We start from the raw sequence: 23,492 nt of genomic DNA, 5'->3' as shown, positions 1-23,492 counted from the left end.
ATGTTTTTGGTGATAGTACCAAGTGTTTTTCCTGATAACATCTCAGCAAATTAGCAAAAATCTGATAGTTTAATTGGTGCCTCTATGACATGTAGCTCACTTAGCATTTTCCTAATAATCTTCCACTCCAAGTAGGCCCTTTGCTACTCTATGGATTACTTATACATTCAAATCTACTATTCATTTCATTTAGCTTAGAAATTATCATTTTTAATGGCTGTTTATTGTACACATAGACACGTGTACACTCAAACACACAAAAGGTTTTTTGTTGTTGTTGGTTTTTTTGTTTGTTTGTTTGTTTCCTTGAAATGGTCTATTGAGGGCAGGAGCCCTTCATTTGAAAAATCCAGTCTAAAGTAAAAATGGCCAAATGCATGACAGAAAACCATATTCCTGAGTTCAAAGTCCACTGGGCTGCTCTATCGTGTCTGCTAGTAAAATTGCTGTAAATTCCTTGCTTTTGTATTGATTTGCATGTAAATGTTACTGTAAGGCAAGGATGGGGTGAGGGGGGAATTTTTCTTTCTGTCTCAAGTCAAGGTCCAATGATCCAAAAAAAATCAATTTGGTTTACCTAAAAGTAAAAGGTAGGCTTTCTTTGTAGCATTCTTTTAGAAATATAGGCAGAAAGCATTGTAACACAGATTTCAGCCTGAGGCAATTGACAACCATAGTGTATAATAACTCAAGAATCCATGAAAATTAAGTACAAGGACCGAATGTTTATTTTCTCATATTGAACCCTGAAGGGAACAAAGCTCCATGTGTCAGTTTTATGCTTGTCTTTTCAATCCTTGGCTCTTGTAGTTGTCCAATATATTTCACTTATGTGGCTTGTTCTAATGTTCCCATTACCTATTACAAAGAGAGCTAATCATTGATCAATAGCACTTTCACTTATGACTTTTTCTAAAGCATCATGTGAAATGTTATATGTAGTCTGATGGTTTCCAATGATGATAGTTTATGCTATTAAAATAGAGCACCAGTCACACGAGCTTTTACAAAGTATGTCTTAATCTCCTAAAAGGCAATACCACATGATTCTACAGGAAATTCATAGCTATAAACACTGAACTTTTGTTTATTTACTTTTGTTGCAGGAACTTTTCACACCTGAGTGCAAATTCAAAGAATCAGTGTTTGAAAATTATTATGTGACATATTCATCAATGATATACCGTCAGCAGCAGTCAGGCCGAGGGTGGTATCTGGGTCTGAACAAAGAAGGAGAGATCATGAAAGGCAACCATGTGAAGAAGAACAAGCCTGCAGCTCATTTTCTGCCTAAACCACTGAAAGGTACATTTGATATTGTGGGAACTATGGATTATGCTACTAAATATACTTATTTATTTATTAAATTTCAATAGTTTTGGGGGTACAGGTGGTTTTTGGTTACATAGACAAGCTATTTAGTGGTGATTTCTGAAATTTTGGTGCACTCATCACCCAAGCAGTATACACTGTACCCAGTATGTAGTGTTTTATCCCTCACCCCACTCTCAACCTTCCCCCCAACCAAGTTCCCAAAGTCCATTATATCATGCTTATGCTTTATGTCTTCATAGCTTAGCTCCCACTTAAGTGAGAACATACAATATTTGGCTTTCCATTCCTGAGTTACCTCACTTCGAATAATGGCGTCCAGCTCCATCCAAGTTGCTGCAAAAGATATCATATCATTTCTTTTTATGGCTGAGTAGTATTCCATGGTGTATATATATACCACATTTTTTTATCCACTCGTTGATTGATGGGCACTTAAGTTGGTTCCATATTTTGGCCATTGTGAATTGCGCTGCTATAAACATACCTGTGCAGTTGTGTTTTTCATATGATGACTTATTTTCCTTTCAGTAGCTAGCCAGGAGTGAGATTGCTGGATCCAATGCTACTTTTAGTTCTTTAAGGATTCTCCATACTGTTTTCCATAGTGGTTGTACTGATTTACATTCTCGCCAGCAGTGTAAAAGTGTTCCCTTTCACCACATCCATGCCAACATCTGTTGTTTTTTGACATTTTAATTATAGCCATTCTTGCAGCAGTAAGGTGGTATCTCATTGTGGTTTTAATTTGCATTTCCCTGATGATTAGTGATGTTGAACATTTAGAAATAGTAATTTAAAGCAGTCCTTAATAATACTTTTGAAAATGAAACAGTTGTTCCACATTAAGACATTTATTTAAAAAACTTACATTTTGTAACACTCAAAAACATTTGCTCTCCTGATTTTAATTTTTCCATAGTGCATGTACATATAGTGACACTTTACTTATGTGGAAGTAACTTACATGCTAACTCAGGACAGCCAAGATCCCCAAATTATGCTAAAATGTTGCCTGGGCAGAAACATAGGTGTTAAAAATGTGTATACACAGCCGGGCACGGTGGCTCACGCCTGTAATCCCAGCACTTTGGGGAGGCCGAGGCGGGCGGATCACGAGGTCCGGAGAATGGCGTGAACCTGGGAGGCGGAGCTTACAGCGAGCTGAGATCGTGCCACTGGACTCCAGCCTGGGCGGCAGAGTGAGACTCCGTTTCAAAAAACAAAAGAAAAAAAAAATGTGTGTACACTTAACACTTACCAGAAAGCTCCTTGGGTCCTCTCTAAGGGCCCAACATATTATTTCAGCAAATTTTGCTTATAGTTTTCCCATCATTATTAGCAGATTAATAGCAAATTAGAAAGGGTGAGGGACAAGAATAGGCTATGGAAGATAGGGAGGTAAGAAATAGTGAGATATGGTAGAGAAGAGACAGAAAATGCGGGCAAAGCAGAGGAAGACTTCAAAGAGATTACTAGCCTGAGGTAAGAGTAGGGGTTTAGAGTAGAGGCAGACACTGTGCAATTCGAATAAGCACAGCACTGTGTTTTACAGCACATTTTTTGGAGCCAGACTACCTAAATTCAAGGCCCAACTTCACTTTTTGCTAACTGGATGGTCTTGAACAGGTTATTTACCTGTGTATGCCTCAAGTTCATCTGTATAATATGGATAAGAGTACTTATAAGATTCTCATAGGGACTAAATGGGATAATGCATGCAAAGAACTTAGAGTAGTATCTAATGTTATGTGTTCCATAACTATAAGCTATTATGTTTATTTATAGCACAATAATAAATTTTACCATTTACTGTACCAAGAATTATCCAATACTTAGACTCTTGAAGTGTTTCATTTTAAAGTATGATAGAAATCAGTGTTTTAAAATATTTTAAATTTTAATATTTGCCTTGTACAGTATGCTATAGATCATATTTAAACTTCTAAGAGGTTTATTAAATGCATTTTTTATTAATCCTCTCTTACATAACCATATGTGGTTGAAGTTAGGCATTAAAATTCTTTACACACTACTACACCAAGGCTAGATTTTTGCTTAATCTGAACCTGTCCACTCTCTACTGAGTCCTTGAAAGCAGTGTTTTTCATGTCTGGCTTAAGGCACAGAAGCCTAGTAACCAAAAGAAAAGTTGAGGACCAGTGTGGTAGGCCCATTTTTTTAATGTATTTTTTTTCTCTTTTTCCTTTTCTGAATTTAATTTATAATTGACACAAAAATTGTATATATTTATTATGAACAAGGTATTTTGAAATATGTATACATTGTGGAATAGCTAAATCAAGCTAATTAACATATGCATTACCTCACATACTTATCATTTAGGTGTGTGGAATAGAACACCTACAAACTATTCTTAGAAATTTTCACAATTGGTATGCCCATTTGAAGGCCTTTTACACCATCTTTGTGTGCTTTTCAGTGGCCATGTACAAGGAGCCATCACTGCACGATCTCACGGAGTTCTCCCGATCTGGAAGCGGGACCCCAACCAAGAGCAGAAGTGTCTCTGGCGTGCTGAACGGAGGCAAATCCATGAGCCACAATGAATCAACGTAGCCAGTGAGGGCAAAAGAAGGGCTCTGTAACAGAACCTTACCTCCAGGTGCTGTTGAATTCTTCTAGCAGTCCTTCACCCAAAAGTTCAAATTTGTCAGTGACATTTACCAAACAAACAGGCAGAGTTCACTATTCTATCTGCCATTAGACCTTCTTATCATCCATACTAAAGCCCCATTATTTAGATTGAGCTTGTGCATAAGAATGCCAAGCATTTTAGTGAACTAAATCTGAGAGAAGGACTGCCAAATTTTCTCATGATCTCACCTATACTTTGGGGATGATAATCCAAAAGTATTTCACAGCACTAATGCTGATCAAAATTTGCTCTCCCACCAAGAAAATGTAAAAGACCACAATTGTTCTTCAAAAACAAACAAAACAAAACAAAACAAAATTAACTGCTTAAATGTTTTGTCGGGGCAAACAAAATTATGTGAATTGTGTTGTTTTCTTGGCTTGATGTTTTCTATCTACGCTTGATTCACATGTACTCTTTTCTTTGGCATAGTGCAACTTTATGATTTCTGAAATTCAATGGTTCTATTGACTTTTTGCGTCACTTAATCCAAATCAACCAAATTCAGGGTTGAATCTGAATTGGCTTCTCAGGCTCAAGGTAACAGTGTTCTTGTGGTTTGACCAATTGTTTTTCTTTCTTTTTTTTTTTTTTTAGATTTGTGGTATTCTGGTCAAGTTATTGTGCTGTACTTTGTGCGTAGAAATTGAGTTGTATTGTCAACCCCAGTCAGTAAAGAGAACTTCAAAAAATTATCCTCAAGTGTAGATTTCTCTTAATTCCATTTGTGTATCATGTTAAACTATTGTTGTGGCTTCTTGTGTAAAGACAGGAACTGTGGAACTGTGATGTTGTCTTTTGTGTTGTTAAAATAAGAAATGTCTTATCTGTATATGTATGAGTCTTCCTGTCATTGTATTTGGCACATGAATATTGTGTACAAGGAATTGTTAAGACTGGTTTTCCCTCAACAACATATATTATACTTGCTACTGGAAAAGTGTTTAAGACTTAGCTAGGTTTCCATTTAGATCTTCATATCTGTTGCATGGAAGAAAGTTGGGTTCTTGGCATAGAGTTGCATGATATGTAAGATTTTGTGCATTCATAATTGTTAAAAATCTGTGTTCCAAAAGTGGACATAGCATGTACAGGCAGTTTTCTGTCCTGTGCACAAAAAGTTTAAAAAAGTTGTTTAATATTTGTTGTTGTATACCCAAATACGCACCGAATAAACTCTTTATATTCATTCAAAGAATAATCTTCCAACATGTATTTATTGAGCGTCCATTATGTGCCAGTAACTGAAGTAGCAACTGGAAGTAAACATTGTATAATGCAGATAAGGTCACTGTCCTCAGATAGTCTACAGTCTAGAGAGTCATATTAACATGAACACTTTAAAGTGTGTTTATTTTACTAGTTACTGTACTTGCACTTCAGATTGGTACAAAGGAATTCACATTCCCGTTCAGTAGTCAAATTATACAAATGAGGCGTTTGTGCTAGTATTTTCTCTGCCACTCACAGTGTCATTTCCCCTCTCTGTTGCTTATTTCTCTCCTCTCTAGAGGGAATACACAGGACTAAATAGTGTCCTTTCTACCTTTGAGAACTGAAGGAAAATGTAAATTTTTTTAAATGTTGATGACTTTTCTCTAGCTCCCCAAAGCTGCATTGTCTGGCAATGAACACTTTGAGAACAGTCAATACAGATGGTCTCTGACTTACAGTAGTTCAACTTACATTTTTTCGGGGGCTTTACAGTGGTACAGAAGCAATAGGCATTTAGTAGAACTCATACTTTACCATACAACCATTTTGCTTTTTATTTCCAGTACACTATTCAATAAATGACATGAGCTATTCAACACTTTTTAATTACAAAATTTGCTTTGTAGTACATGATTTTGTCCAACTGTAAGCTAATATAAGCGTTCTAAGCACATTTAAAGTAGGCTAGGCTAAGCTATGATGTTTGCTAGGTTAGGTGTATTAAATGCATTTTCAACTTAAGATGGGTTTATTGGTATGTGACCCCCATCGTAAGTGAAGGATCATCTGTATATGGAGGGAAGAATTGTGAAATACATAAAACGTAGTTGACTAGTGCTTTTCAGAGCATCTGCAAATAAAATTACTGGGGCCCCAAACAGCCTGCTTTTGCAAGGAGGGGAGACTCCTCATTTCTAAGATGTTTGGACCAGATTCAGCATGAGCTCCTATCCCTGCCCACCCCAGCCCAGTCTAAGTCACCTTGTAATTTCATGAGATAAGTCCTCCTCATCCTGCTTCATCCTGCCTGAGCTCTAAACACACCTACATGAGGTACGCTCACCTGCCTAGCTATCTTGGATGCAGGATCCTTTGTACCATGTTTTAAAAATCAGGAGATGCTCACTCAACCACCTCTCCCTATTAACTCTTACTAATTTTCAATCAGTAGGGAAAAGTAGTGCATTGTCTCCCTCTTTCTCTAAGAACTTTAAAGTTTGGTCACTGACTACTTCAGTTGCTGGTCTTGCTTTTTCTGTTGTTCAGAAATAGTGTAGGTCTGCTGGTAGTAAGCAAATTAGCACTATGTGGGTCTCAGGGATGCCTGCGTTAATAGGATGGAGTCAAAATGCCCAGGAAGAATCCTTTACCCCCAGCATTCTTTTTGAGCTGCCTTAAAGTTGCTTTAAACAGACAGTGGTGTTAAAATAAATTAATAAGTAAATAAATAGTCCTCAAACCTTCCTACAAGTGATGATATCAATACTTTCACACATCTTCATTACACACACACATACACACACACCCTTTCCCACCCCATCCCCTCATGCACATCCTTTAGTAGCATTCCTCCTGGCAGAAAATACTAGTCCTGCCACATAACTGATGAAAGAAAAAAAGACTCTAGTCAAATAGTTGTGGGAAACACTTCAAATACTATTGGGTCTCAGATATTAGCTCACATCAGAATCACCTGGAAGGCTTGTAAGACTCAGATCACTGGACTTCACCTTCAGAGTTTCTGATTGAGTGAGTCTTGTGTGGGCCCAAAACTTGGCATTTCTAACAAGTTTCCAGGTGATGCTGAGGCTGTTGATCCTCGGGACTTTGAGAACCACTGGTATTAGTTCATTCTCACGCTGCTATAAAGATACTACCTGAGACTGGGTAATTTATAAAGGAAAGAGGTTTAATTGACTCACAGTTCTGCATGGCTGGGGAGGCCTCAGGAAACTTACCATCATGGCAGAAGATGAAGGGGAAGCAAGGACCTTTTCCACGTGGCAGCAGGAGAGAGAATGGGAAAGCGCCACTTATCAAACAGATTTAGTGAGAACTTCCTCACTATATGAGACAGCATGGGGAAACCGCCCCGAGGATCCAATCACCTCCCACCAGGTCCCTCCCTCAACACATTGGGATTACAACTCTAAATGAGATTTAGGTGGGGACACAGAGCCAAACCATATCACACTGGCATACACTATTCCTTTCTTCAGGATTAGCGTGCATTAGCAAATTAATTTCTGAAAAGTCTTGTGTTAAAGAAATCTGTTTAACTTTTACAAATGCTGAGACAAACTTATTGGGCCACAAAGCCACATTTTCATGGAGCGTCTATTAACATTGCAGTAGAGTGGTAGTCCTCAAGCTTTTTATGTGTACCTGAATCACCTGTGGTGTTTTATATGCTTCTTTTGTTTTAAGCTTGGCCTGGGAATCTCCTGAATCTGATACCTACTGTTCTATGCCACAGCACTTAATGTCAGTGTTCTATGGCATGGCACTTAATGTCAGTTTTCCACCCCATCTGTGAACGTGTATTCAATCATTATACTGTATTTAGCCTGAGAATGAATATGGAAAAGAAAACAACACTTTCTTCAGGCTTTTTGCAACTTTTTAAAAGCAAAACAGGCTCCAATTCCCCCTCCCAGGAGTTTTGTTTGTATCCAAAGAGAGGACATGCTCATTGCCATGGAATCCTTAAAGGACTGAGAGGGAAGTGATCTGTGGCACTCCTCCCCTCCCTAACCAGTACATTTGTTCCAGTTTTAAGCCAGTCAAGCTCACCGAAGAGTTTTTCAAAGACCTTAGCTACATGGATTTAACTTTACCAAGCATCCATTGTCCAAATGAACATATGAGGGAAAATGAATATCTCTTCATCTACATCAGCTGACCATAACTATGCTGTGGATAAGGGGTGGTGGGATCAGAACTGATAACCATTTTCAACAAATTTCATACGAATGTGTCTTAGAAGCCTCATTTAGATGCGATGTCATTCATGGGTAAAATTGAAATGTGCCTTCACTGGCAGAGTCTTTAACAATCTCTGCAAGACAATCTACGCTTTTTTCTATTGTTTCTGAAAATCCTTTCAACCTCTATTCAAAGCCATTTTCTCACTTTAGAAATTGATTACAGCAGGGCTGTGATTGTCAGTACAAAAATCTGTACAGGGATATGGCAGTGGTATAATAGATGACCATTTCCAATTATAAAACAATTAGCAAAGTATAGCTAGGTCAGGCCACTAGTACCCTTCAAATTCTTAACCATATTTACAAAGACAGCTTTTCATAACTTTTATTGCTCTGTCCACAAAGATGTGGTCTCATGGTTTCACACGATTGAGAATGCTACAAGTAATAGTATACTGAAAAGAACATGTCTCTAATTCTGGACTGCTCTTTATCTCCAAGAAACAGAGAGAGAGAGAATGAAAAAAAATCCCAGCTTAGAGGAATTTTGGAAGTTACTCTTTCATGAACCATCACATTTTCTGGGCCTTTGTAATCTTTAAACACTGTTACTCTTTAGAGGTTGGTTTGAATTTGTTGCACAGAGAACAATAATCTATGACAAATTAATGAACCCTTTTGCTAATATCACATGAGTACAAGTATCTTGTATTTCTCATCACATTTACCGTAATAAAGAATGCAGACAAGTATAATACATGGCATCATTTTGGGGATTTTCCAATTTCTATGTGGGCATACTGGAAGAAGTTTGTAACAGTTGCAATTCTGTCACAATGCAGGAAGTCTTTCTAGAACACACAATGTGGATGATTTTCAGTTTTAGAATTGTAAACTAACCAAATGTCAATTCAGTTTCTCATTTTATATTAGTTTTTGTTACAAACACTGCCTATTTCTCTTTTGTACAAACACTTCACACACACACACACACACACGCGCACACACACACACACACACACACACACACAGGCACACACACACTAGATGGGCCTCCAAAAGAACTCAGAGCTGCTGTCTTCCTCTGGGAGGTTGATCATATGTCTATTCAGTTGGGAGAATGGAGCAGTCAAGTTCAAAATCCATGTGGCTCTCTGGCTTCAGAAGCTATCCTTTCAGCTATGACACACACACTAAATAGTATTGCCCAGGTTTGCCCTACAACATGTTAGCATATCTACATATTTTGTACTGTAATAATGTGTACGCTCTTAATAATTTGTTTTTAATGCTGTGTAAAGTTAGCAATTAGAGTAAGAGAAACGTATGGGATAATGATTGAGTAAAATCTCAGCTCCTTTTGAGTCAATCACTCAGCTTGTTGGCACAGTAGATATTTATGACCTTAAATACTGTCAGCGCTTCACAGCACATTACTGAGGCCTGGATAAAGCATTCACACAAAGATAAATGGATTGAAACTGTGTCAATTTTGTAGAAAAAGATATTCTGGGGTTTAGTAACAGAGAATTTTTCTTTCCTTACTGCGATTAATAAAGTGGAACTCCAATTGCAAGTAACTATTCAGTTTTATGTTCTTCACATATGGAAACCTCTCTGTCACTAATACCCTGGGACAAACTGGATGATTACCATCCAAGTGTTATTTTCTTCCTCGAAAATTTCAAAACCAGAATGAATTAGTTCTCCAAGTCTGGCTATACTATAGTTTTCTTCTTAATGTAAAACAGCTGAATAAAACAGCTTGAACAATATTTGACTTTCATGGGTCTTAAGAACGTTTCAAAATACACCACCAATATATTTACCAACATATTTAGTGCCAGATATACACAGAACAAACACTACCCTATTGTTTCTGTGTGCGTGTGTGTGTGTCTGTGTCTGTGTGTGTGTGTAGCAGGACACTAAATAAACAAGTCATGTTGCTGTTCTTAGGGAAGTTTTGGTAAAGAGAGCTTCAAAGTTCCTTGGAGTCACCTGCAAGGCTAACTGTACTAAAAGCGGAATTTGCATGATCTTTCTACAAACTCTCAGTGTAAAGTGGTAGATAGACATGCAAGCATCACACTTAGATTGCAATAAATGCTGTGATGTAAAAAATACAATGGAGGAAAAATTTTTGATTAGGGAAATTTAAACATTTTCAAAGAAGAGTTAATGTTTCAGTGGAGTCTTAAAAGATGAGTAGGAATTCAACAGCCAGAAGGGAAGTGTAGACGCTCTGTGTCACATAAAACAAAACAGAACAGAATAGTATAAGTGAAGGCATAGAGCTTCACATGAAAGGCACATGAAATAGCACTGGGTATCTCTAAAATATTAATTAGCCTAGTGTAGCTGGACAATGAGGGGCAGAGCCCCTGGTATGCAAGTGATGTCTGGGAAAGGAGCAATCTTTCTACAGTGCCTCATTCCATCATACCTCATTACCAGAAAAACATTATGAGCCACTTAGGCCTGTATTATTTGAGCATCTCTGAAATGGAGTTGCTCTACATGTTTTGTAGAAACCTAATGAGTAATTTATTCTCATCAGTAGACAAAATGAAAGAAAGAAAATAGACTCTGAGCAAAGTATGATTCACAACCTTGCCTATTAGGCTATAGAAGATTGCCCTACTAATTCCTCCTTTTCGTCTGTTGAACAATCTGTATTTTGCCTGCTCAAAAAGGAATTCCTCAAGTTATAGGGGCAGTTTGACCAGTACAATCATATCAGAAAAAAATCAGCAAAATTATGTTCTAACAACATCTTCCCATCTAAAGTGCACATTTTATTTTTTTAAGGTAACATAATTACTACGAACAACCGAAATGGTATATAAAGGTGAAAAATTAAAATAATTTTTTTTACAGCTCCACGTTACCTCACCCCCTAGACCCTGGTAACCACCATTCAACTCTCTGTTTCCATTAGTTCAACTTTTTAAGATTCTTTTTATACAAAGGATGTCATGTAGCATTTTTTTCTTTTTTCATCTGGCTTATTTCACTTAGTTTGCTTATTTCAACGTGCTCTGAAGTTTCATCCATGTTTATGTAAATGGAAGGAGCTCCCTCTTTATATGGCTAAGATATATATATATATTATATTATATATATATATGTATATATATATATTATATATATATATGTATATATATATAATTTTCTTTCTTCATTCATCTGTCCGTGGGCACTTAGGTTGTTCCATAACTTATCTATTGTGAATAATGGTGCAATGGGAATGAATGGGAGTGCAGATGTCTGTTTGGCATACTGATTTAATTTCCTTTGGATATATAACCAGAAGTGGGAATGCTGGATCATACAGTAGTTCTATTTTTACTTTTATGAGGATCTCCATACTGTTTTACATAATGGCTTACTAATTTACATTCCCATAAACAGTGTACAAGAATACCTCCTTGCCAACACATTATCTTTTAAGTTTTGGATAATATTATTCCTATTAATAACATGTGTGATATTACATTGTGGTTTTGATTTGCATTTCCCTTATGATTAATGATGTTAAGTACCTTTTCAGATATATGTTGGCCATTTGTATGTCTTCCTTGGAGAGATGTCTATTCAGCTCCTTGGTCCATTTTTCAAAATACAGTTTACTTGTATTTTTGCTATTGACTTGTATGAGTTCCTTATATATTTTGGATATTAACCCCTTATGAGAAATATGGTTTGCAAATATTTTCTCCTATTCTGCAGGTTGCCTTTTCGTTTTGTCGATTATTTCCTTTGCTGGGCAGATAATTTTTTTATTTTATTTTTTGAAACAGTGTCTCACTCTGTCACCCAGGCTGGAGTGCAGTGGTGTGATCATGTCTCACCACAGCCTTGACCTCCCCAGGATCAGGTGATCCTCCCACCTCAGTTTTTGTATTTTTAGTAGAGATGGAGTTTCACCCTGTTGCCCAGGCTGGTCTAAAACTCCTGGGCTCAAGCCATCTTGCCCACCTTGGGACCTCCCAAAGTGTTAGGATTAGAGGCATGGGCCACCATGCCTGGCTTTGAAACTTTTTAATTTAATGTAGTCTGACTTGTTTATTTTTACTTTGTTGCATGTGCTTTTGGTGTTACAGCCAAAAAAGTTATTGCCAAGACCAATGCCATAGACATTATTTCTTATTCTAGTAATTTTACAATTTTAGGTCTTATGTTTAAGTTTTTAATCGATTTTGAGTTGATTTTTGTGTATGGTATAGGATAAAGGTCCAATTTCATTATTTTGTATTTGGATATTCAATGTTTAAAATACGATTTATTGAATGGACTATATTTCCCCATGATGTGTTTTTAGTGCCTTTGTTGAAGATTTGTTGATCATATATGTGTGGATTTGTTTCTTGGCTTTCTATTCTGTTCCATTGGTCTATGTGTCTGCTTCTATGCCAATACCATACTGTTTTGATTACTATAGCTTTACAATATAATTTGAAATCAGGAAATGTTCTAAACTTCTTTCTCAAGATTGTTTTAGATCTTTGGGGACTTAGGTGGTTCCATAAGGTTTTAAGAATTTTTTTTCTATTTCTGTAAAAAATTATATTAAGATTTTGATAGTGCTTGCATTGACTCTGTAGATCACTTTGGTTAGTATCAACATTTTTGCAAAATTAATTCTTCCAAACTATGAACACAGGATACTGTTGCACTTATTTCTCTTCTTCAATTCCTTTCATCAGTATCTTATAGTTTTTAATGTACAGATTTTTCACCTCCTTGGTTAAACTTATTCCTAAGTACATTTTCCTTTTTGATGCAATTGCAAATGGGATTGTTTTTCTAATTTATTTTATTTTGTTTGTTTGTTTGTTTGTTTGTTTTTGAGATGGAGTCTTGCTCTGTCACCCAGGCTGGAGTGCAGTGGTGTGATCTTGGCTCACCACAACCTCTGCCTCCCGAGTTAAAGGGATTCTCTTGCCTCAGCCTCCCGAGTAGCTGGGATTATAGGCGCCTACCACCATGCCTGGCTAATTTTTGTATTTTTAGTAGATAGAGATGGGGTTTCACCATGTTGGCCAGGCTAGTCTCAAACTCCTGACCTCAGGTGATCCACCTTCCTCGGCCTCCCAAAGCGCTGGGATTACAGGCGTGAGCCACTGCACCCAGCCACTAATTTATTTTTTGGATAGTTCATTGTTAGTGTACAGAAACAACTGATTTTTTATGTTGATTTTGTATCAACATTGGTGAATTCCACCCAACATTTGAGGAAAAACTAATACCAATCCTTCTCAAAATCTTCCAAAAAAATGAAGAGGAAGGAGCACTTCCAAACTCATTTTATGAAGCCAGCATTATTCTCATACCATTCCAGACAAGGACACTACAAGAAAAAAAATTACAGGCCCAAATCCCTGTTGAACATAGATGCAAAAATCCACAACAAAATACTAGCTAAAAGAACTTAACATCACATTTAAAGGATCATTCACCATAATCAAGTGGGATTTCACCAATTTCACTTGGGTAGAATTCACCAATGTTGATAAAAAAATCAACATAAAAATCAGTTGTTTCTTCACACGAACAATGAACTATCCAAAAAATAAAGAACACAATCCCATTTGCAATTGCAAAAAAATACTTAGAAATAAATTTAGCAAAGGAGGTGAAAGATCTTTATATTAAAAACTATAAAATATTGATGAAAGTAATTGAAGAAGACAAATGGAACAGATCCCTTTGTTCATAGATTGGAAGAATTAATATTACAGAAATGTTAATACTAACTAAAGTGATCTACAGAGTCAATGCAAGCCCTATCAAAATCTTAATCGAATCTTTTACAGAAATAAAAAAAAATTCTAAAATTCATATGGCACCACATAAGTCCCCAAAAATCTTTACAACTTCACTGAATTTATTTATCACTTCTAACATTTTTCTGTTGGAGTCATTGGGTTTCTGTATTGAAGAGCATGTGATTTGAAACAGACCATTTTACTTCTTCCGTCCTGATTTGCATGCATTTTATTTCTTTTTCTCGACTTATTGCTCTAAGCAGAACTTCAAGTACCATGTGGAATAGAAGTGGCAAGAGTGAGCATTCTCTTCTTCATCCTGATTTCAGAAGAAAAGCTTTCAGCATTTCACTACTGACTATCACGTTAGATGTGAGTTTGTCATATATATGGCCTTTGTTATATTTAGGGATATTCCTTCTCTACCTAATGTTTTGAATGTTTTCATCATGAAAGGGTGTTGATTTTTTTTCAAATGCCTTTTCTGTATCTGTTAAAATGATCATATGATTATTATCCTTCATTGTCTTATTGTTCATATTTATTGATTTGAGTATGTTGAGCCATCCTTTTATCCCAGGGATAACTCTCACTTGATTATGGTGAATGATCTTTTTAATGTGATGTTAAGTTCTTTTAGCTAGTATTTTGTTGTGGATTTTTGCATCTATGTTCAACAGGGATTTGGGACTGTATTCCTTTTTTTTCTTGTAGTGTCCTTGCCTGGCTTTGGTAGGAGAATAATGCTGGTTTCATAGAAAAATGAGTTTAGAAGTGTTCCTCACTCTTCTTTTTTTTTTGGAAGATTTGAGAAGGATTGATATTAGATTTTCTTTAAATGTTGGGTAGAATTCACCACTGAAGCCATCTGGTTCTGGGCTTTACTTTGTTGGGAAGTTCTTTTTTAAAAAATTGCTGATTCAATATTCTTTTTCATTATTGCTCTCTACAGATTCTCTATTCATGATTCAGTCTTGCTAGGTTGTGGTATGTTTCTAGAAATTTATCTGTTTCTTCTAGATTACCCAACTTGTGTATAATTGTTCATAATAGTCTCTAATGATCATTTATATTTCTATGGTATCAGTTGTAATGTCTTCTCTTTCATTTCTGATTTTATTTGTTTATGTCTTTTCTCTTTCACTCTCAGTTACTCTAGCTAAAGGCTTGTCTGTTTTTTAATCTTTTCAAAAAACAACTCAGTTTTATTGCTCTTTTTTATTTTTCTAGTTTCTATTTCACTTTTTTCTGTTCTGATATTTACTTCATTCCTTCTTCCGACTTTGGGATTAGTTTATGGTTCTTTTATAGTTCCTTGAGGTGTAAAGTTAGGTCGTTTATTTGATTTTTTTTTTCTTAATGTAGGCATTTATCACTATAAACTTCCTTCTTAGAAATGCCTTTTGCTGCATCCCATATATTTTGGTATGTTGTTTTTCCACTTTTGTTTGTCTCAAGTTTTTTAAATTTTTCTTTTGATTTGCTCTTTGATTCTTTGGCTATTTAGGAGTGTATTGTTTAATTTTACAGTTTTCCTCCCTTTACTGATTTCCAGTTTCTTAGCATTGTGGTCAGAAAAGATATTTGGTATGATTTCAATCTTCTTAGTTTTGTTAACACTTGTTTTGTGGCCTAACAGTTGATGTATCTTCAAAATGTACCTGCGCAATTACTTGGGACGAATGTACATTCTATTGCTTTTGGAGGGAATGTTTTGTATCTGTTAGGTCCATTTGGTCTAAAGTGTAGTTCAAGTCAATTCCCTATTGATTTTCTGTCTGGGTGATCTGTCCATTGTTGAAAGCTGGGTATCAAAGTCTTCTACTACTATACTATTACAGTCTATATTTCCTGTTCATATCTATTAATACCTGCTTTATATATTTAGGTGATCCAATGTTGGGTGTGTATATATTCAAAATTGCATCTTGTTGATGAATTGACTCATTTATTTTTATATAATGGCATTCTTTGTCTCTTGTTACAGTTTGTGACTTTAAGTCTGTTTTGTCTGATATAGTATAGGTGTCTCTGCTTCTTTCTGGTTTCTATTTACATGCAATATCTTTTTAATCTCTTCACTTTCAGTTTATACGTGTCCTTGCAGCTAAAGTGACTATCTTATAGATAGCAAGTACTTAGTTCTTCCTTTTTCATCCATTCAGCCACTCACTGTCTTTTGATTAGAGAATTTAATCTACTTACATTAAAATTAATTATTTATAGGTAAAGACATACTATTGCTACTTTGTTAAATGTTTTTCAGCTGTTTTGTAAGTTTTTTTGTTTCTTTCTTCCTCTCTTGCTGTCTTTCTTTGTGATTGATGATTTTCCTGTAGTACTATGGTTTGATTTCTTTTTTTTTAATAATTTTTATTTTTATTTTAAGTTCCAGGGTACATGTGCAGGATATGCAGGTTTGTTACATAGGTAAACATGTGCCATGGTGGTTTGCTGCACCTTCAACCCATCACTGAGGTGTTCAGCCAAGCATGCATTAGCTATTTTTCCTAATAGTATCTCTCCCCACACCCCACCCCCCTTGACAGGCCCCAGTGTGTATTGTTCCCCTCCCTGTGTCCATGTGTTCTCATGTTCAGCTCTCACTTATAAGTGAGAATACGCAGTGTTTGGTTTTCTGTTCCTGCAATAGCTTGCTAAGAATAATGGCTTCCAGCGCCATGTGTGTCCCTGAAAATGACATGATCTCATTCCTTTTTATGGCTGCATAGTATCCCATGGTGTATATGTGCCACATTTTCTTTATCCACTGTATCATTGATGGGCATTTGGGTTGATTCCACATCTTTGCTCTTTTGAACAGTGCTGCAGTGAACATATGCGTGCATGTATCTTTGTAATAGAATGATTTATATTCCTTTGGGTATATACCTAGTAATGGGATTGCTGGGTCAAATGTTATTTCTGGTTCTAGATCTCGGAGAAATCACCACACTGTCTTCCACAATGTTTGAACTAATTTACTTTCCCACCAGCAGTGTAAAAGTGTTCCTATTTCTCTGCAACCTTGCCAGCATCTGTCATTTTTTGACTTTTTAATAATCACCATTGTGACTGGCATGAGATGGTATCTCCTTGTGGTTCTGATTTGCATTTCTTTAATGATCAGTGATGTTGAACTTTTTTCATATGTTCGTTGGCCTCATGAATGTCTTTTTTTGAGAAGTGTCTGTTCATGTCCTTTGCCCACTTTTTGATGCGGTTTTTTTTTTCTTGTATATTTGCTTAAATTCCTTGTAGATTCTGGATATTAGACCGTTGTCAGATGGATAGATTGCAAAAATTTTCTCCCACTCTGTAGGTTGCATGTTCACTGTGATAGTTTCTGTCTTTCTTTCTTTTTATATTATACTTGAAGTTCTGGGGTACATGTGCAGAATGTGCAGGTTTGTTACATAGGTATGCACGTGCCATGGTGGTTTGCTGCACCCATCAACCCGTCATCTATATTAAGTGTTTCTCCTAATGCTTTGACTTCATTATTTCTTTCATTTGATTGAGTATGCTGTGGATGTTTTCTGTTACTTTTTTAATTTTATTCATTGTATTCTTCAGCTTCAGAATTTGTTTGTTTGTTTGTTTGTTTGTTTTTCACAGTTTCTATCTCTTTGTTGAACTTATTATTTTGGTCATACATTGTTTTCCTGATTCTACTGACTTCTTTGTCTGTGTTCTCATGTAGCAACCCAAGCTTATTTAAAACAATTATTTTTAATATTTTGTCAGGAAATTTGTAGATCTCCATTTTTTTTTGTTGGCAACTGGAAAATTACTGAGTTTCTTCGGTGGTATTATTTTTGTGTTGTTTTTGGCAGGTGTTCCTTGAAATCTCGTGTTGCCATGTTCACATTTGAAGAAGTAGTCTCCTCCTTCAGCCTATACTGACTGGCTTCAGAAGAGAAACAGTTATACCAGTTAGCCTGACTGGGGATACTAAGACTCTTGCACATCTTTTCTGTAGATGTGTCACTCAAGCTCTTTTTGAGAAATTTTAAGATCATCTGTATTTTCTTAATTTCATAAAACCAAACCAAATTCTGAGAGTTTCCCATTTGTTTTCTCTAACGTGGTGCCCTGAAGTGCTCAAGTTTTTGTGCCTTCTCCCATTCCCACAGAGTCAAGCTGCCTGCTTCTGCATGCACACAAGTTCACACTCGCTGTCAGGGTTTGGGCCGTGTGCAGGGAGCAAGCCAAGGTAGAGGAGAGAGGGAGACATGCAAAGTTTTGGGAGCACCCATGTGTCAGCTTCGGGGGTTTACAGTTCAGGCATCCCAAGCCACTAGTGGGTGGGCCTCCTGATGGAGTCTGTGAAGTTGTTAGTAGTATATGTGTCCTTTTGTTGAATTTCCAGTCTCTGGTTGCTGTGAGCCCCTACCGCTGTTCCCTGCTCACAGCCTCTCAGTCACTCAGACATGATGATCCCCTCAGTATTCTGAGTGGGGATAGAAAGAAGTAGGCCTCTTGGTCAGTGTCCCACGTGGCTAGGAAAGCCAGGCATTCATTTACTACACTCTCCCTTTCACCCAATGGAGAAATCATGAGTCAAAGTTGTATCTCTTGGTGTTGAGTTCTGCTAGCTTGAGAGACGGTTGACATAAGTAGTGAAACTATTTTCTGGTTCTTTTCAATGTGCCTATTCTCGTAATTGTTTTGCTCCATCTGTGAGCTGGACTACCAGACTCCCACAAAGGTACTCTCATACTTGAGTGGTTGTCAAAATTGTAGATAGTGGGGAAATGACAGGAGAAAATTCCTGTTCTGCCATCTTGCTGACATCACCCCAATATCTAAAATGCATATTTTAATTATTTTTTTCCTTGAATAAAGTTTATTTTGGAATTGTTGAGTTTTACAAAATAATTTAAAATATTCTCTCTCTCTCTCTCTCTCTCTGGGGTTGAGGTCTCACTCTGTCACCCAGGATGGATTACAGTGGCACAATCGCAGCTCACTGCAGCCTCGAATTTCTTGGGTCAAGTGATCCTCCCACTTCAGCCTCCCAAGTAGCTGGGACTACAAGGCGTGTGCCACCATGCCCAGCTAATATTTTTACATTTTTTGTAGAGATGGGGTCTCACTATGTTGCCCAGGTGGGTCTTGAACTCCTGGCATCATGTGGTCCTCCCACCTCCACCTCCCAAGTCCTGAGGATACCAATTGTGAGTCACTGTGCCCAGCTATCCCCTTCTCACTCTCTTTTTCTCTCACACACATGTGTGCATGCACAGACACACACACCTCATGTTCATTCTCTTTACCATGATGATCCTTGGTTCTTTTACACAGCTTCTTTCAGTTTACCTTACAATTTAGCTCAACACAAATTTTAAAAAACTTATAGTTACAATTTAATTTGGCTTGGTCCACACCTCTAACAAATTTGATACAATCTCCAACTTACGGTTGCAAGTTAGTTGATTATATTCACTTCCAAGTATTTCCCCCAACATTTCATTATGAAAATATATCCATCAATTAATGCTCTTATCTATAAAATAATTATTTTTTTGCATTTCAAAATAAGTTACAGACATCAATGCACTTCATCTTTAAACCCTTTATCATGCATATCAGGAAGTAGAGTTTAATATTTCTATATTTCTTGGGGGAGAAATGGAGCTAAAATTATATACTGTATCATATACAAACCTGTTAGGTATATCAATTCATGTGTATTGACAAATGCGTGCACCATGTAACAGAAACTCCTTTCAAGATATAGAATATTCCTATCACTACAAATATTAATCACCAAAACAATGGGGAGAATGTCTCTAGGGCATGTCAGAGACCTTCACTGCAGCCTCTCCCATTATAGGCCAGGAGGCCTTGAAGGAAAAAAATGGTTTAGTGGGCCAGGCCTCAGGCACCCCCCCTTGCTCTTTGCAGCCTTGAAACATGGTACCCTGCGTCCCCAGCTGCTTCAGCTTCAGCTGTGGCTAAAAGGGGCCAACATACAGCTCAGGCCATTGTTTCAGAGAGTGCAATCCCCAAGCTTTGGCAGCTTACACATGGTGTTGGGCTTGCAGGAGCACAGAAGTCAAGAATTGAGGTTTGGGAACCTCTGCCTAGATTTCAGAGGATGTATGGAAATGCCTGGATGTCCAGACAGAAGTCTGCTGCAGGGGTAGAGCTCTCAGGGAGAACCTCTGCTAGGGCAGTGCAGAAGGGAAATGTGGGGTTGGAGCTCCCCCACAGAGTCTTCACTGGGGCACTGTATAGTGGAGCTCTGAGAAGAGGGCCATAGTCCTCCAGACCCCAGAATGGTAGATCCACCAATAGCTTGCACCATGCACCTGGAAAAGCCACTGGCACTCAACACCAGCCCATGAAAAGAGCTGTGAGGGTGGCTGCATCCTGCAAAGCCACAGGGGAAGAGCTGCCCAAGGCTGTGGGAGCCCACCCCTTGCATCATTGTGACCTGGATAGATGTGAGACATGGAGCCTAAGGAGATCATTTTGGAACTTTAAGCTTTAACGACTGCCCTATTGGATTTTGGACTTGCATGGGCCTATAGCCCCTTTGTTTTGGCCAACTTCTCCCATTTGGAATGGGTATTTTTACTCAATTCCTGTACCCCCATTGTATCTTGGAAATAACTAACTTGCTTTAGATTTTACAGGCTTATAGGTGGAAGGGACTTGCTTTGTCTCAGATGAGACTTTGGACTTGGACTTCTGGGTTAATGTTTGAATGAGTTAATACTTTGGGGGACTATTGGAAGGGCATGATTGTGTTTTGAAATGTGAGAACATGAGATTTGGGAGGAACTAGGGTCAGAATGATATGGTTTGGTTTTGTGTTCCCACCCAAATCTCTCCTTGAATTGTAATAATCCCCATGTGTCAGGGGTGGGACCAGGTGGAGGACTGAATCATGGGGGTGGTTTCCCTCATGCTATTCTCATGATAGTGATTTATAACAGATCCAATGGTTTTATAAGCATCTGGCATTTCCCCTGCTGGCACTCATTCTCTCTCCTGCCACCCTGTGAAGAGGGGCCTTCCACCATGATTGTAAGTCTCCTGAGGCCTCCGAAGCCATGCGGAACTGTGAGTCAGTTAAAACTCTTTCCTTTATAAATTACCTAGTCTTGGGTATTTCTTTATGGAAGCATGAGAATGAACTAATGCACAGGGTAAAAATTTAAAAACAAACATACAAATGCAAGTAAACAAGCCAATATTTCAACTGTTCCCATTGCATTATCCTTATTCTTTATCTATGGTACCAGAAAATAATACATCTGAAACAATTTTTTTTTCCTGCCATGATGTACACTCAAGTGGGTCCACTGGGGTTTCTTTCAGTTTCCCAAATACTAGATATGACTCTTCCCTATACCTTATCTTCATATGAAGAAAGCTATGAGAATATATTAATAACTGAATATAGTAACACTACTATAGGAATAAGCATGTGTATATTCCAACTGATCTTTTAAAACTTTTATTTTGAAATATTTATAGATTCAAAGGAAGATGCAAAGAGTATAGGGAAGTGCTATATGCCCTTTATCTAGTTCCTCTAGTGGTATCAACTTACATAACTGCAGTATCATATATAAACCAAGAAATTGGCATCTGTATAATCCACAGACATTACTCAGACTTCTCTAGTTTTACATACACTAATTTGTATGTGTGTGTGTGTGTGCGTGCACGTTTATGTGTGTAGGTCTATGCAATTTTACCACATGTGTATATTTGGGTAACCACTACAATGATCAAGATATGGAACTGTTCCGTCACCACTAAGATCCCTTGTGCTATTCCTTTATAAACATCTCCCTGTCATCCTTTTTCACCCATAAAAGCTAGTAAACACTAATCTGTTCTTCATCCTTATAATTTTATTATTTCAGAATTGTTATATAAATGTCATCATACAGTATATAACACATAGAGATTGGCTTTTGTCACTCAGCACAATTCCCTTGAGATGCATCCAAACTGTTGTGTATATCAGTAATGCAATATGTTTAATTTCTGTGTAGTATTCCATGGTAGAGATGTGCCATAGTTTAACTATTCACCTGTTGAACAACATTTGTGTTCTTTCTACTTTTGGGCTATTACAAATAAAGTTGCTATGAACATTCATGTATAAGATTTTGTGTGATCATTGGCTTTCATTGCTCTAAGACAAATTAATAAGCATTTCTGAGTTATATAATAATCACATATTCAGTTCTGTAATATATTGCCAAACTTTTTTAAAGTAGCTATATTTTTCATGTGTTTATTTTCGATACATATATCCTATTTTACAAAATGATTGTTGATGAATTTTCTCTATATTCTATTGGATGTTTTAAGAAATTTTCATTGAGTTTTCAGAGTTTGCTATATAGTCCAGTTATGAATCCTTTGTCAGATGTGTAGTTTGCATATTTTCTTCCTGTGGTTAATTACTAAAATTGCAGTGTAAGAACTTCTGAAAACCCTTTCATCCATAAAAGCAATAAGAACACAGGTGAAAATTCTAAATTAACTTGTTCATAACTCTGGAAATTAACTAAAAACTTGTAAGAATTTGAGAAGTCTTTATTTTAGAAAATTTGCTGGATATTGGCAAGAACAGTGAAATCTGTGGCATTTTAACTTACCATATTTCCATATTCTTTTACTCAGCTCTGCAATATTCTCAAAAGCCAAGTGCCCTGCAATTATAGTGGCATAAAAACAGCAGTCTGGCAGCCATCAAAAGTGGAAGAATGCCATTAAGGGTGTCTGCCAGCTCTATCCCTACAGAATGTCATCAGGGACCTGTTCTCTAAATATCCCAACCTGTAGAACTTGTCTTTGTTTCACCTGATTCAACCTCATTCAGTGTGAACAGGCTTTTGTTGAAATCAATCCGTGGCAGTTGTTCCACACTGCAGCTGCTTGAGATGTCAACTACAGTTAGGGCAAACACAAAGTTGACTAGAAAAACTTAAAAGGAAAAGCTAAGGAATGAGATGTCCATAGGAGGATTTTAAAAGTTTCAATATATTCTTGGGAATTTTAGAAGGCTGCATGTATGGGCAGGGCTGTGTACATACCTAGGGAAGACTTGAGAAGGCCCTAATTTCTTATATGTGTCTAATCTAATATATGTCCAATCATTAGCTGGCCACTAAGCTAACTGAGCAGAGACTAGTGACCATACACATCAAATGATACAGACTTTACATAATTAGTTCAAGAAAGTCATTAATCAAACTGCAACAACAAAAGCAAACAGAAAAACACCAACAAACTTTAGGAATGGAGAAAAAATCTGATTTTCAGATTTTTCACATTATATTATTTAAAATGTTCAGTTTCAACAACAAAACAACTGAGACATGCAAGGAAACTGGAAACTATGGCCCATACCTGAGGAAAAAGCAGTCAGTAGAAACTATCCCTAAAGAAGAGCTATCAGAAATTTGTTTAGCATAGTTGCTATTTCAGCATCCATTTTTAGTCCTGACATAAGTTGCTCAAAACCTAGTCATACTCTGACTAGTCATACTCTGACCCATTTGGCCTAGTTAAAACTTGCTCTCTCTGTGTTTTTGATATAGCCTGATTGTTCTT

General features: G+C 37.0%; 1 protein-coding gene across 6 annotated transcripts in view; it reads left to right on the top strand.

Moving 5' to 3' along the window:
• The window catches only part of FGF13 (fibroblast growth factor 13), a 590,297-nt gene extending 568,262 nt beyond the window's left edge, over positions 1-22,035 (top strand). For all 6 annotated transcript variants that reach the window (NM_001139498.2, NM_001139500.2, NM_001139501.2 and 3 more), the window contains 2 exons: positions 1,107-1,305; positions 3,776-22,035. In NM_001139498.2, coding sequence (NP_001132970.1) covers positions 1,107-1,305; positions 3,776-3,912 — 336 coding nt within the window. In that variant the 3' untranslated portion in view covers positions 3,913-22,035. The remainder of the gene's footprint in view (positions 1-1,106; positions 1,306-3,775) is intronic.
• The last annotated feature ends 1,457 nt before the right edge of the window (positions 22,036-23,492 follow it).

The sequence above is a fragment of the Homo sapiens genome, chromosome X (assembly GCF_000001405.40).
Source record: "Homo sapiens chromosome X, GRCh38.p14 Primary Assembly".
Classification (NCBI taxonomy): Eukaryota; Metazoa; Chordata; class Mammalia; order Primates; family Hominidae; genus Homo; species Homo sapiens.
Note: the sequence above shows the minus strand (reverse complement) of the source record. Positions and strands in the feature narration are given on the sequence as shown.